Here is a 15,380-nt window from a genome sequence, read left to right on the forward strand (position 1 = left end):
GTTTCCCTACATTCGATAAGGGAATGGATTGTAATCACAGCTTTTGCCACAACATCTCACTCTGTCAATCTCAGTGTACTTGCAAAAAAAAAAAAAAAATACAGGCTGTGTGAACAAATGAATAAATGAGAAAATAGAGAATTCAGCCAAGTAGGCTGCCAGTTGCATTAGCTCTAGGTAGGTGTACAGGACATTAAAGACTGAAGATGCTGTTAACTCAGAGAAGGGCAGACTAATAAGATTGGTTGACAGAGACCAGATGTTTTCAGAGTTAGGAAAGTCATACTAATGGGTTGTGCTATTCTGTTTTAATGCTTTCTCTCAGTATTGGTAGCTGTAAACAAGCACACATCTACTTAGTGTAGCTAGAAGGGGGTGAAAAGTCCATAGATAAAACGCCATTTTGTGTGAGATAGAGGTGCAAAAGCTAGTATCATTTCAATAAAATGGATCTAGGAAATAGGGCAGCATGCAGAAGGTTTATGGAAACTCTCTGAGTTAGTGAAAATGCTACTAATTTGAGTCGGATAACTATGACAAATCCTAGTTCCAAAATGTACTCTGAGCTCTTGCTTTGTTTATTTCAAAGTATTTATTAAAGACTGACTATGTGCCAGGCACTGTTCGAAGATTTGGAGACACATTAATGAATGCACACAGACAAAATCCGTACTCTCCTAGAACTTGCGTTTATCATAATTTCACTGAAGGTTTCCCTCTTATATAAAATACAATAGAGAATTATAGAGTGATGTGGAAGATGTATGTTAAGATTGTTTGTAGAATGTACACTTGTTAGAAAATGTATTAAATAAAGTTTTGAGAATTGAAGCTGCTCAGGTGATGTTCACTGACAGTTAAGCAGTATGTATATATGACATGTAAATATGTCATATATGTATATATGCATACGTATATATGTATATATACATATATATGTATGTGTGTGTATATATATGTATATATGTGTGTGTATATATACGTATATATGTATATATGTGTGTATATATATACGTATATATGTATATATGTATATATGTATATGTGTATACACATATATACATATGTATGCATATATGTATATGTGTATACACATATATACATATGTATGCATATATGTATATGTATGTGTGTGTGTGTGTGTGTGTGTGTGTGTGTGTATGGATTCAGAGTTGTTTGCCCATGTTACAGAAGGATGCCCTTTGGAAATATTCACAGAGAGAGCCATCCCCTCCATTCTGTATACACCTATGTTTGCTAACTCGTAGTATAAAGGGAAAGTGAAGCTTTAGGTCCTAAATTAATGCTGAAATTAAGGACCCTCAAAAATACTGATGGGCTTTGTTGACTTGTTAAAGTGGGTCTTGTTTAAACGTGACCATATTGACTGAGTTTATTTCCTATACTTACTTATAGCTCTACTGTCAGGCAGCCTCTTCTTTTATAGAATGTATAATTATTTAATTAATTCAACAGGTGTTATTGAAGGTCTTTTATGTGCCAAAGACTATTCTAAAAGCTGGGATAGAGCAGTGAAAAAAAAAAAAACAGCAAAGTTCTTGTCCTCATGGAGCTTACATTCTAGGGAGGAGGCAGAGTGATAAAGTAAATGTGATACAATATAAGCAATTGCCAAATCTTGGTAAAGATAATTCAGCAATTCTTCGTGGTATTATTTCAGCTTTTTCATAAGTTAAAATTTCATACAAATTTTAAAAATTGCAAAAGATTGTGAAAGAAATTTAATGTTTTTTCTTTTTTTTCAATTAAACTGAAATTTTAATGTAACAAAATTAAATTTTGCAGCTGAAGCTGGGATGCAACTAATGCATTCTCTATGAGAAAATTTATGTTACTTATACTTACATTTAAAAATAAGAAATGCATAAAATAAGAAACCTGATCATTTGTCTTAATGAGATTCTTTTTTTTTTTTTTAATCTGAGGAATTGCCACACTGTCTTCCACAATGGTCGAACTAGTTTACAGTCCAACCAACAGTGTAAAAGTGTTCCTATTTCTCCACATCCTCTCCAGCACCTGTTGTTTCCTGACTTTTTAATGATCACCATTCTAACTGGTGTGAGACGGTATCTCTTTAATTTTTTAATTTTATTATTATTATACTTTAAGTTTTAGGGTACATGTGCACAATGTGCAGGTTAGTTACATATGTATACATGTGCCATGCTTGTGTGCTGCACCCATTAACTCATCATTTAGCATTAGGTATATCTCCTAAAGTTATCCCTCCCCCCTCCCCCCACCCCACAACAGTCCCCAGAGTGTGATGTTCCCCTTCCTGTGTCCATATGTTCTCATTGTTCAATTCCCACCTATGAGTGAGAATATGTGGTGTTTGGTTTTTTGTTCTTGCAATAGTTTACTGAGAATGATGATTTCCAATTTCATCCATGTCCCTACAAAGGACATGAACTCATCATTTTTTATGGCTGCATAGTATTCCATGGTGTATATGTGCCACATTTTCTTAATCCAGTCTATCATTGTTGGACATTTGGGTTGGTTCCAAGTCTTTGCTATTGTGAATAGTGCCGCAATAAACATACGTGTGCATGTGTCTTTATAGCAGCATGATTTATAGTCCTTTGGGTATATGCCCAGTAATGGGATGGCTGGGTCAAATGGTATTTCTAGTTCTAGATCCCTGAGGAATCGCCACACTGACTTCCACAATGGTTGAACTAGTTTACAGTCCCACCAACAGTGTAAAAGTGTTCCTATTTCTCTACATCCTCTCCAGCACCTGTTGTTTCCTGACTTGTTAATGATTGCCATTCTAACTGGTGTGAGATGGTATCTCATTGTGGTTTTGATTTGCATTTCTCTGATGGCCAGTGATGGTGAGCATTTTTTCATGTGTTTTTTGGCTGCATAAATGTCTTCTTTTGAGAAGTGTCTGTTCATGTCCTTCGCCCAGTTTTTGATGGGGTTGTTTGTTTTTTTCTTGTAAATTTGTTTGAGTTCATTGTAGATTCTGGATATTAGACCTTTGTCAAATGAGTAGGTTGTGAAAATTTTCTCCAGTTTTGTAGGTTGCCTGTTCAAAAACAACATGGTACTGGTACCAAAACAGAGATATAGATTAATGGAACAGAACAGAGCCCTCAGAAATAACGCTGCATTTGTTTGTGTCCTCTTTTATTTCCTTGAGCAGTGGTTTGTAGTTCTCCTTGAAGAGGTCCTTCACATCCCTTGTAAGTTGGATTCCTAGGTATTTTATTCTCTTTGAAGCAATTGTGAATGGGAGTTCACTCATGATTTGGCTCTCTGTTTGTCTGTTGTTGGTGTATAAGAATGCTTGTGATTTTTGTACATTGATTTTGTATCCTGAGACTTTGCTGAAGTTGCTTATCAGCTTAAGGAGATTTTGGGCTGAGACGATGGGGTTTTCTAGATAAACAATCATGTCGTCTGCAAACAGGGACAATTTGACTTCCTCTTTTCCTAATTGAATACCCTTTATTTCCTTCTCCTGCCTGATTGCCCTGGCCAGAACTTCCAACACTATGTTGAATAGGAGCGGTGAGAGAGGGCATCCCTGTCTTGTGCCAGTTTTCAAAGGGAATGCTTCCAGTTTTTGCCCATTCAGTATGATATTGGCTGTGGGTTTGTCATAGATAGCTCTTATTATTTTGAAATACGTCCCATCAATACCTAATTTCTTGAGAGTTTTTAGCATGAAGGGTTGTTGAATTTTGTCAAAGGCTTTTTCTGCATCTATTGAGATAATCATGTGGTTTTTGTCATTGGCTCTGTTTATATGCTGGATTACATTTATTGATTTGCGTATATTGAACCAGCCTTGCATCCCAGGGATGAAGCCCACTTGATCATGGTGGATAAGCTTTTTGATGTGCTGCTGGATTCGGTTTGCCAGTATTTTATTGAGGATTTTTGCATCAATGTTCATCAAGGATATTGGTCTAAAATTCTCTTTTTTGGTTGTGTCTCTGCCCGGCTTTGGTATCAGAATGATGCTGGCCTCATAAAATGAGTTAGGGAGGATTCCCTCTTTTTCTATTGATTGGAATAGTTTCACAAGGAATGGTACCAGTTCCTCCTTGTACCTCTGGTAGAATTCGGCTGTGAATCCATCTGGTCCTGGACTCTTTTTGGTTGGTAAACTATTGATTATTGCCACAATTTCAGAGCCTGTTATTGGTCTATTCAGAGATTCAACTTCTATGCTCATGGGTAGGAAGAATCAATATCGTGAAAATGGCCATACTGCCCAAGGTAATTTACAGATTCAATGCCATCCCCATCAAGCTACCAATGATTTTCTTCACAGAATTGGAAAAAACTACTTTAAAGTTCATATGGAACCAAAAAAGAGCCCGCATCGCCAAGTCAATCCTAAGCCAAAAGAACAAAGCTGGAGGCATCACACTACCTGACTTCAAACTATACTACAAGGCTACAGTAACCAAAACAGCATGGTACTGGTACCAAAACAGAGATATAGATCAATGGAACAGAACAGAGCCCTCAGAAATAATGCCACATATCTACAACTATCTGATCTTTGACAAACCTGAGAAAAACAAGCAATGGGGAAAGGATTCCCTATTTAACAAATGGTGCTGGGAAAACTGGCTAGCCATATGTAGAAAGCTGAAACTGGATCCCTTCCTTACACCTTATACAAAAATCAATTCAAGATGGATTAAAGATTTAAACGTTAGACCTAAAACCATAAAAACCCTAGAAGAAAACCTAGGCATTACCATTCAGGACATAGGCGTGGGCAAGGACTTCATGTCCAAAACACCAAAAGCAATGGCAACAAAAGCCAAAATTGACAAATGGGATCTAATTAAACTAAAGAGCTTCTGCACAGCAAAAGAAACTACCATCAGAGTGAACAGGCAACCTACAACATGGGAGAAAATTTTCGCAACCTACTCATCTGACAAAGGGCTAATATCCAGAATCTACAATGAACTCAAACAAATTTACAAGAAAAAAACAAACAACCTCATCAAAAAGTGGGCGAAGGACATGAACAGACACTTCTCAAAAGAAGACATTTATGCAGCCAAAAAACACATGAAGAAATGCTCATCATCACTGGCCATCAGGGAAATGCAAATCAAAACCACAATGAGATACCATCTCACACCAGTTAGAATGGCAATCATTAAAAAGTCAGGAAACAACAGGTGCTGGAGAGGATGTGGAGAAATAGGAACACTTTTACACTGTTGGTGGGACTGTAAACTAGTTCAACCATTGTGGAAGTCAGTGTGGTGATTCCTCAGGGATCTAGAACTAGAAATACCATTTGACCCAGCCATCCCATTACTGGGTATATACCCAAAGGACCATAAATCATGCTGCTATAAAGACACATGCACACGTATGTTTATTGCGGCACTATTCACAATAGCAAAGACTTGGAACCAACCCAAATGTCCAACAATGATAGACTGGATTAAGAAAATGTGGCACATATACACCATGGAATACTATGCAGCCATAAAAAATGATGAGTTCATGTCCTTTGTAGGGACATGGATGAAATTGGAAACCATCATTCTCAGTAAACTATCGCAAGAACAAAAAACCAAACACCGCATATTCTCACTCATAGGTGGGAATTGAACAATGAGATCACATGGACACAGGAAGGGGAATATCACACTCTGGGGACTGTGGTGGGGTCGGGGGAGGGGGGAGGGATAGCATTGGGAGATATACCTAATGCTAGATGACACATTAGTGGGTGCAGCGCACCAGCATGGCACATGTATACATATGTAACTAACCTGCACAATGTGCACATGTACCCTAAAACTTAGAGTATAATAAAAAAAAAAAATTAAAAAAAAAAAAAAAAAAGAAGCATAATTCAAAAAAAAAAAAAAGAAAAAGAAAAACAGTGTTTGGGGCAGAATTAATAAAAAAAAAAAGTAAAAAAAAAAAAAGAAAAGAAATAACGCTGCATATCTACAACTATCTGATCTTTGACAAACCTGAGAAAAACAAGCAGTGGGGAAAGGATTCCCTATTTAATAAATGGTGCTGGGAAAACTGGCTAGCCATCTGTAGAAAGCTGAAACTGGATCCCTTCCTTACACCTTATACAAAAATTAATTCAAGATGGATTAAAGACTTTAACGTTAGACCTAAAACCATAAAAACCCTAGAAGAAAACCTAGGCAATACCATTCAGGACATAGGCATGGGCAAGTACTTCATGTCTAAAACACGAAAAGCAATGGCAACAAAAGCCAAAATTGACAAATGGGATCTAATTAAACTAAAGAGCTTCTGCACAGCAAAAGAAATTTAATGTTTTTTCAACATATTTCAGTTAAACATGGCTTACCTTTATAAACAGCATATTTATTTCAAGCTATAAATATGTTTTATAATCTGTAAATTTTTAGAAATTTTAAGTCTAGCGATGAAGCTTTCATATGAGAAAGTGCACATTTTATATATGTTTAAAATATTAATTTTTCATTAAAGTGTGTAATAACACATGAATAGAAAGCATAAATTAAGTCATAAATTTAGACAAATATTTTGAATCATTAACTTTTTTTTTTTTTTGCTTATCTCTGAGTCTGTTAAAAGTACTTTGTTCTTACACAATAAGAATTGAATACTTTTTGGAAGAAGTGAGATGCTTTTTCTTTTCATTTTCTCCTTTTTTCTTTGAGTGTGAGTTGATTTTTTTTTTTTTATAAGGTAGTTAGTTGTTCATGCTGCTAGTGACTTAACCATCATACTGAAATGTTTTGACCTTGGTAGAAAATGTCCTGTTCTTTATTTACTTAGGTCCATGCCTGAGAGATGTAGTTATAAGGAAGCAAAAAGTTCAAGACTGTATCTACAGCCATGCTCACCATATCAAATACTTATGTTCTCAACTAACATTAAGCTTGGTATCCAGGAGCTCCTCTGGCTGGCATTGGAGGAGTCACAGCTTTGTGGTCATGTCAGGGAAGGGGAGGGATCTTATTTGTAGGCAGAATCAGGTATGATGTCTTGTTCACCTACCAAATGCAGGAACCTGGGACAAAATGAAATAATTTTCAATGACTGGGAACAGACCGAATTGCTCAGTCTTGGCTTACCTGTGAATGTTAGGACTAAGGGCAATAGACTCAAGGGGTCATATTCAGAACACACAAATAGCAGGTTTTCAGGTGCCCCGGAACAACACTCCTCCCCTGCTTTTGGTCCGTCAAATGCACTTCTTGTGTAGATCAGATATCCTACCCCTAAGGTTAGGCACATGACTCGAACCAAGTCCCCAAGAGGCTTTCTCTGAGATTTAAAGAAAAAGGCTTGAAGTTTACCATGTTTTAAAGGAATATTTTATTTGCATATAATCTAAAACTTATAGAAAATGGCAAGAACCTTATAAAGAACTCCTGTGTACATTTTATTATGATTCACCAGTTGTTAACATTTTCCCCAACTGTTTTGTTATTCATTTTTTTATCTCTTTATCCTGTACTCCTAAACCATTTCAGAGTGTGTATGGTGTTTGTTAGCCCCCAATATTGATAATGCTAACATAATTATTTATTTAGGGTATTGTTTAACAGGTCTCTCCACTGTAAAATTAATGTTTTCTCTTTGGTGATTGACAAAGATTCTCTCCATGACCAAACTTTCATCAGGCTTCTCTGAACTCTGTTCTTCTCAACTAGGTCCTGACTTGTGGGCTTCTGTGTTCATCTTTGCATTGTCCATTTTTAGCAAAAGTTCTGCTATGTCAGTTTAACCAGAATCCCTCACTCTCGCTATCTGATTACCTTTGCTATCTGACCAAATTCCTTAACCCCCACTATCTCTCAGGCAATATCTGATCACCTTGGCCTGCCTTCAGAATTCTGTTAGGTCATTTCAGCAAAGAATTATCCCACTCTCTTAATTTTTCCCTCCACTGGCCCCTCTACCAACCTGGCTTCTTGTCTATAAATTCCTATATTTCCTTATTGTTTTTGGAATTAAGGCCAATCTCTCTTCCCTACTGCAAAACCCCATTGCGGTAGTTTCTTCTTGAATAAAGTCTTCCTTATTGTTTTTAACAAGTGTCTGAGTAATCCTATATCCTGCATCATTACATAACTAATATGTTTTTCTGCATCAGTGTAGATTCTATTTCATTCACTGGATTATAACCTGTTACTATCATTATTTTGATACTCAAATAGTACTTAGTGTAGAGTTCTTATATATACTTTTAATATTTAAATCTAAATATTTTTGAAATTGTAGTAAATTGAATTTTAAAATTTATGTGTCCAATTATTTGCTTCTAGAATCAGAAATAAACTTCAGCATATTGATTTTGCATTAGTTATCTATTGCTGCATAACCAATTTTATTCAAATTTAGCCCCTTAAAACAACACATTTACTCCACCTTTTCTATATGGGGATTCACGTGAAGCCTAGCTAGATACCTGGACTCAGGGTCTTTCATACAGCTGCAATCAAGGCGTTGGCCAAGGCTGCAGTCATCTTATGATTGGATGGTGGGGCCAGGGTGTCCACTTTTAGGTCCACTTACATGGCTGTAGACTGGCCACAGGTCCTTGCTGGTTATTGGTTGCTGGCATCAATTCCTTGCTATGGGCCTTCCCACAGGATAGCTCACAATAGAACCGAGGGCTTCCCTTAGAATAAGCAAGTGATGCAATGTGAGAGGGAACCCTGGTGAAAGCCAGAGTTTCTTTGTAACCCAATCTCAAAAATAAAAAGTCATTATTTTAGCCACTTGTGGTAGGCACAATAACACAAGCCTTGTTCCCATGCCAAAAGAAATCCACATCCTAATCCCTGGAACCTGTAAATATGTTATCTTATGTAGCAAAGGGGATTTTGTAGTTGTGATTAAGTTAAGAACCTTAAGAGGATTATCTGGGTGTTCCCCAGTAATCAGAGATGGAGAGGTGCCCCAACAGAAGAGTCAGAGAGAAATTTGATACACTGATGACTTTGAAGATGCAGGAAGGGATCACAAGTCAGGGAATGCAGACATCCTCTAGAGGCTGGAAAAGGCAAGGGAAGTGATTCTGCCTGGAGCCTCCAGACAGAAGGAATGCAGCCCGCTAACACCTTGATTTTTGCACATTGAAATGCCTTTTGGACTTTTAAATTTCAGAGCTCTATGAAAATAAATTTGGGTTGTTCAAAGCTACTAAATTTGTGGTAATTTATTACTACGGGTATTAGGAATTTAATACATGGTCATTTTATTTTAGAAATAATTCACTAATACAGCCACACTCAAAGGGAAGAGATTACACAAAGGCCTGAGTGCCAGGGTGTGGGGTGGCCATGATAAAGACTGCCTACCACATAATTTGAATACTGCAAGCTTATAATTTATTAATTCTAGTAGTTGTTTTGTAAATTTATTATTTTCCACAAAAAATGTTATGTAAATTATGCCTACATGATTTTGCCTTTAAGAAAACATGAAGTAAAAGGAAATATCTGGTCTTCGATATAGATAGTTATACCATGCTCTTTCAAATATTGCACCAGGAAGGGTGTCCAAAATATGTTGAATAGCAATGATGCCAGTGGATACTCTTGTCTTGTTCCTATTCTTACAAGGAAAGTATAGAATATTTTCCAATTTAGTATGATGTTAGGTATTAATTTTTGTTGTTATTTTAACTTAGATGCCCAATATCAGATTTAGGATTTTTTAGTTCTCTATTTATAGTTTGCTAAGAGTTTTTAGCATGAATGGGTGTTGAATTCAATAATTTTTTTGGCATTCATTGAAATGATCATATGATTTTTTTCTTTGTTCTGTTAATATGTGCAATTATGTTGTTTAATTTTCAAATATTAAACTAATGTTGCATTTCTGGAGTAAATCAACTTAATCGTGATGTATTACTTTTATTATATGTTCCTGAATTCAAGTGAAGTTATTTTGATGAAAATTCTAGCTTCTCTTTTTCAATGATGTTCTTTTTTTGTTATGTGTTTGACCGGTTTTCATATCACGGTTATGTTGCCTTATAAAATTAGATGGGAAATGTTCCTTTCTTATTTTTTTCCTCCAAGAGTACGTCTACAATTGGTATTATTTCTTCCTTAAATCTCTGATAGAATTCACTAGTGAAATTTTGTAGACTTTGAATTGCTTCCTGGGAAGAATTTTAACTGAAAAATAAATTTCTTTAACCAAGATAGTGACATTTTGATTTTGTTTTATTCTTCCTGTATCAGTTTTAATCAGTTATTTTTTTTTCCCAAGAAATCTAGCCATTGCAACTACACTAATGGCAGCAAGTTTATAATATTCCCATATTTTCCTTTTGATATCTATTAGATCTTTGTAGATAGCTCACTTTCTATTCCTAATATTTGTAATTGTGTGTTTGCTTCTTTTAATTGATCAGTCCTGTTAGAGGTTAATACATTTTATTTTTCTCCCAAATTACCCATTTTTGGTATTTTTTTCTATGGTAATTTGCCTGATGTCTATTTCATGGAAATATTTTATATCTATTTGTATTTCATTTTTGTTTTTATCTTGATTATTTCTTTCTTCTACTTTTTTGGGATTAATTCGTTCAGTTTTTTTCTAGCTTCTTAATGCAGAAGCTTAGTTCTATATATTACACCTTTCTTTTTTAATATAAGCATTTAAAGTTATGCAATTCCCTGTATTCACAACTTTTCCTGCGCTACATACATTTAGATATATTGTATTTTTATTATTTAGTTCAAAATATTTTCTAATTTTTGCTGTAGTTTGTTCTTTGATCCAAGTGTTATTTAGAAGTGTTTGGTATGGACATTTTGAGATTTTCCTGGATATCTTATTGCTACTGAATCTAATTTAATAGCATTATTTGATAATTATAAAAATTTACTTTCTGGCTGAGCATATAGTCTGTGAATATTCCATGTGCACTTAAAATTGACGTGTATTGTTCAGTTGTTGCTATGTTCTATAATTTGCAGTTAGTCAAGTTGGTTCATGGTGTTGTTTAGATCTTTTATATTGTATTTTTACTGGCTCTCTAATTGTTCTATTTAGATACAGTCAGGGGAATCACCAAATATGAATGTATCATATTCCTTTAGATCTAATTTTGGCACTTTTGAATAAAATTTACAAAATTATTATATTGCAAAATAATGACTTTTTTAAAAGTTCTTTTGTTCTATAGGGAAGATCTCTCACTCTCTCACAGCCTCTCCCCCTTTCCTAAAACTATCTCTCTAGCCATATTGATCCTTTTAATTTTCTTAGTCAATGTGTTATATGCCATTATCAGTATTTTCTGATGTTTTATTTGCTCTAAATTTCAAGAGTGAAAGTCTTTTGAGGTAATCTCCTGCATCTTTTCAATGTGCCCCCTTTGTATCTGAACACATCTTTGCTTTCTAATACAACAAACTGTGTCAGGCTTACTTTTTATTTTCCCAGTGCCAAACCGATTATCTTTTAGTTGGAAGTGATATTTAAAAACCAAAATCTAGGCATTATATTATGTATACTAATTGTTTAGATGATATTTCTTCTAAGCCTTTCAACTAAATAGTTTGGAAGTATATTTCTTAGCAATCATTAGTCCATACTGATACCTCTTACTGGAATTCAACAACACAGGGTTCACCTTCACACTTTCCCATTCCATATTCCTGTTTTCCTTTTCTCAGTAAATACTAATATCCACACATCTAAAGCTTAAACAGAAGAAATAAATGAAATACTAACCATAGTCTGAATAACACTAAAGAGGGAAGGAAAGGAAGAAAAGAGAACTGAAAACATGGCATAAATAGAAGACAAACAGCAACATATTAGAAATAGTTCAACCACATCTATATTTATTTTCAATTTAAATAAAGTAACACTGCAATTAGAAGTCAGAGGTTGTCAGAATGAGTAACAAAAGCATGATCAAGCTTTGTGCTATCTAAAGTAGATGCACATTAAATATAAAGACAAAATAGATTGAAAGTAGTAGGATGACAAATTATATGCCAATGTTAAGAATAAACATAATAAAGCTGATGCATGTATAGTCATGTCAGATGGAATAGACTTTCAAACAATGAATATTGTTAGGGATAAAAAATATTTCATTATGATAAAAGGATCATTTTATGAAGAAGACAGAATGCAAATGTACTTAATAACAGGATTTCAAGGCCGGGCGTGGTGGCTCACGCCTGTAATCCCAGCACTTTGGGAGGCCGAGGCGGGAGGATCACGAGGTCAAGAGATCGAGACCATCCTGGCTAACACGGTGAAACCCCGTCTCTACTAAAAATACAAAAATTAGCCAGGAGTGGTGGCAGGTGCCTGTAGTCCCAGCTACTCAGGAGGTTGAGGCAGGAGAATGGCGTGAAGCCGGGAGGCGGAGCTTGCAGTGAGCTGAGATCGCACCACCGCACTCCAGCATGGGTGACAGAGCGATACTCTGTCTCAAAAAAAAACAGGACTTCAAAATACATGAAGCAAAAACTGGCAGAACCAATGGGAGAAATAGAGTGATCATAATAATTGAAGATTTTTAACACTTCTCTCTCAGTAATTGATAAAACAAATAGGCAAAAAGATTAGTAAGTATATAAAAAATATGACCAATGATAACAGCCAACTTGGCTTAATTAATATTTAGAGAAATTATAGCCAACAACTGAACAAGAAATGCTCACCAAACAGATCAATGCTGTTTAAGAGGCATTTAATTTGCCATTAAATAGATCACAATATTTTTAAAAAGATTAAAATCATTCAGGGTATGTTGCCTTGCTATAATCCAATTAAATTATATAATCAGTACAAATAAGATATGTATAACTCTCATAATATTTGAGGGAAAAAATGACACAATTCTAAACCATCAATGGACTAATGTCAATATTAAAAAAGAAAATGGAAAACACTGAGAACTGAGTAATAGCAAAAATGCAATCTATCACTCTTTTTCTCTTATATTATTTATATTACATTTAAAAAAGAAAAATTTAAAATAAACAAACTAAGCAGACAAAATAAGAAAAATAAAGAAAAAATAATAACAAAAGAGAAAGTAAATAGGAAGTGAACAAATAATAGAAAAAAGTCAAAATTGTTTCTTTGAATAGGTTAACATAATTGGTAAACTTTAATAAGACTAAAATAAAATACAAATTACCAATATTAGTAATGAAATAGGGATATCTACAGAGTGTATGTACATTTAAAAGAGAAATATTATAAACAACTATAAATTTTACAGCTTGTGTGAAATGAACAAATCTTTAACAATCACGCATACTAAAACTAATCAAGAAGTACAAAAATTTTAACCACCATATGTTAATTAGAATCATTAATTTTGTACTTTAAAGTTTTCATGCAAATAATTCTGGGTCATTGGCATATTCTAACAAATATTTGATGAATGTAATACAAATATTCCAATATTTAATACAAGTGAAGCAATAACAGTATTGCACAAATTCTTTCAGAAAATAGAAGAGGACAGATATCTTCCTCATTTGTTTTATACATCGAGGATGTCAGTGATATCCAAACCTGGTAACAATGCCATTGCAAAAAAAGAAATGTGTAGAACAATATGCCTCATAAACACAGCCACAACATTTGTTAACTAAACATGGCAAGTAAATATAGAAATATATAACAAAATATAGCAAAATTATACTATGACCCAGGTAGGTTTTAATTTAAGGGTTTAAGATTAGTTTGTTATTAACAAATCAATCTAATGGAATACTACTACGTAATAAAATGGAACAAACCATTGCTGTTTACAACAGCATGGATAAATCACAAACGCATTAGGCTAGATTAAAAAACCCAATATTAAAATGTTACATATTGTATAATTCCATTTATTTGACATTTTAGAAAAGGTGATATATGAGAAGACAGAACAGATTAGTCATTGCCAGAAGTTAGGCTGGGAGGAGGTTCAGAATAAAATGCAATAAATGAGATAATTATTTGAACTGTAGAATATTTTGTGTATCTTCTCTCTAGTTCTGGTAATGATAATCCATACAGATGTAAAAATTCATAGAAGTTTACAATAAAAAGTGACTTTTGCTCTATGTAAATTCAAAATATTAAAATCCAAAGAGTCAATGTAATGTTCTTAAATAGAGTAAAGCAGAAAAGCAATCATCTTTTAAAAATTCAGACTATCCATTTGACAAAAGACAACACTCCTTATGATAAAATATCCAAGACCCTTTGGAGTAGAAGAAAACTTTCTCACTCTGTTAAAGCATTTCTGCAGCAAACCTGCAGTTAATATCATACTGATGACACAGTGAACACCTTCCCTCCAGGATCAAGAATGAGCAAGTGAGTAAACACATTGTCACTACCTCTACTCATTATCACACTGGGCAGCAAGGCTAAAAGAAAACCCTCAAATCCAGAAAGGAGGTGTTATCGGAAAGCAAAGAATACTTTCAGCCATCTAAAAACCTGAAAGCCAGGCTGTGAAGCAGGGGAAGTACTGAAAGCTCTGTTCTGAAAGCTAGCAACTTACAGGTGATCCTTAACGCAGATTTGAACTGTGTGGGTCTAATTACATGCAGGTTGTTTTCAACCAAATGTTGTTGGGGTGTGTATTATAGGATGTTCTGGAATGTGAAACCTGCATATATGGAGTGCTGACTTTTCATATGTGTCAGTTCTGCAGGGTTGCCTGTAGGTTTGAGTGTGTACAAATTTTGGTTTATGCAGAGGGCCTGGAACCAATCTCTTGTGTGTACTGAGGGATCACTTACAAACTTCACATCACAGGCCTTAATGCCAGGAATAGATTCATGTTACCCTCAAAATGGTTAAAACCAGAAGTAAACTCAATCAAACTAAATTTGCCATGTGCCAAAACTGTTTGACTATAGATTTGATTGACTCAGCCCACAATCTGGTAACCTAGGAGAAGAAGGTGCTAATTCCTGAAGAGAGATATTAATGATATCACTGTCTATTGTGTTATACAAAATCTCTATGATATAAATAATAATAATACTAAAGACATAAAGAAGCAAGAAAACGTGACCTATGGCCAAGACATAAAACAGTCAGTAGAACAGACCTAGAGATAGCCCATATGTTAGAATTGTAAGAAAGACACATTAAACAATTATGATAAAATGGTAAAGTTCGTAGTGAAAATGGTAGCCAAGTGAGAAAGAAATGGTGAATTTTAGCACAGACGTAGATGCTAGTAATATACAATTAAAATACTGGAAGTGAAAAATATCAAAAATAAAGACTTTTCTCATGGGCTTAATAACAGACTGAATATTGCAGAGAAAGAGATTAAAAAAATTGAAGACAATTTAATAGAAAGTATCAAAACTGAAAAACAGAAGACAAAGTTAAAT

Source organism: Homo sapiens, chromosome 7 (genome assembly GCF_000001405.40).
Source record: "Homo sapiens chromosome 7, GRCh38.p14 Primary Assembly".
NCBI lineage: Eukaryota > Metazoa > Chordata > Mammalia > Primates > Hominidae > Homo > Homo sapiens.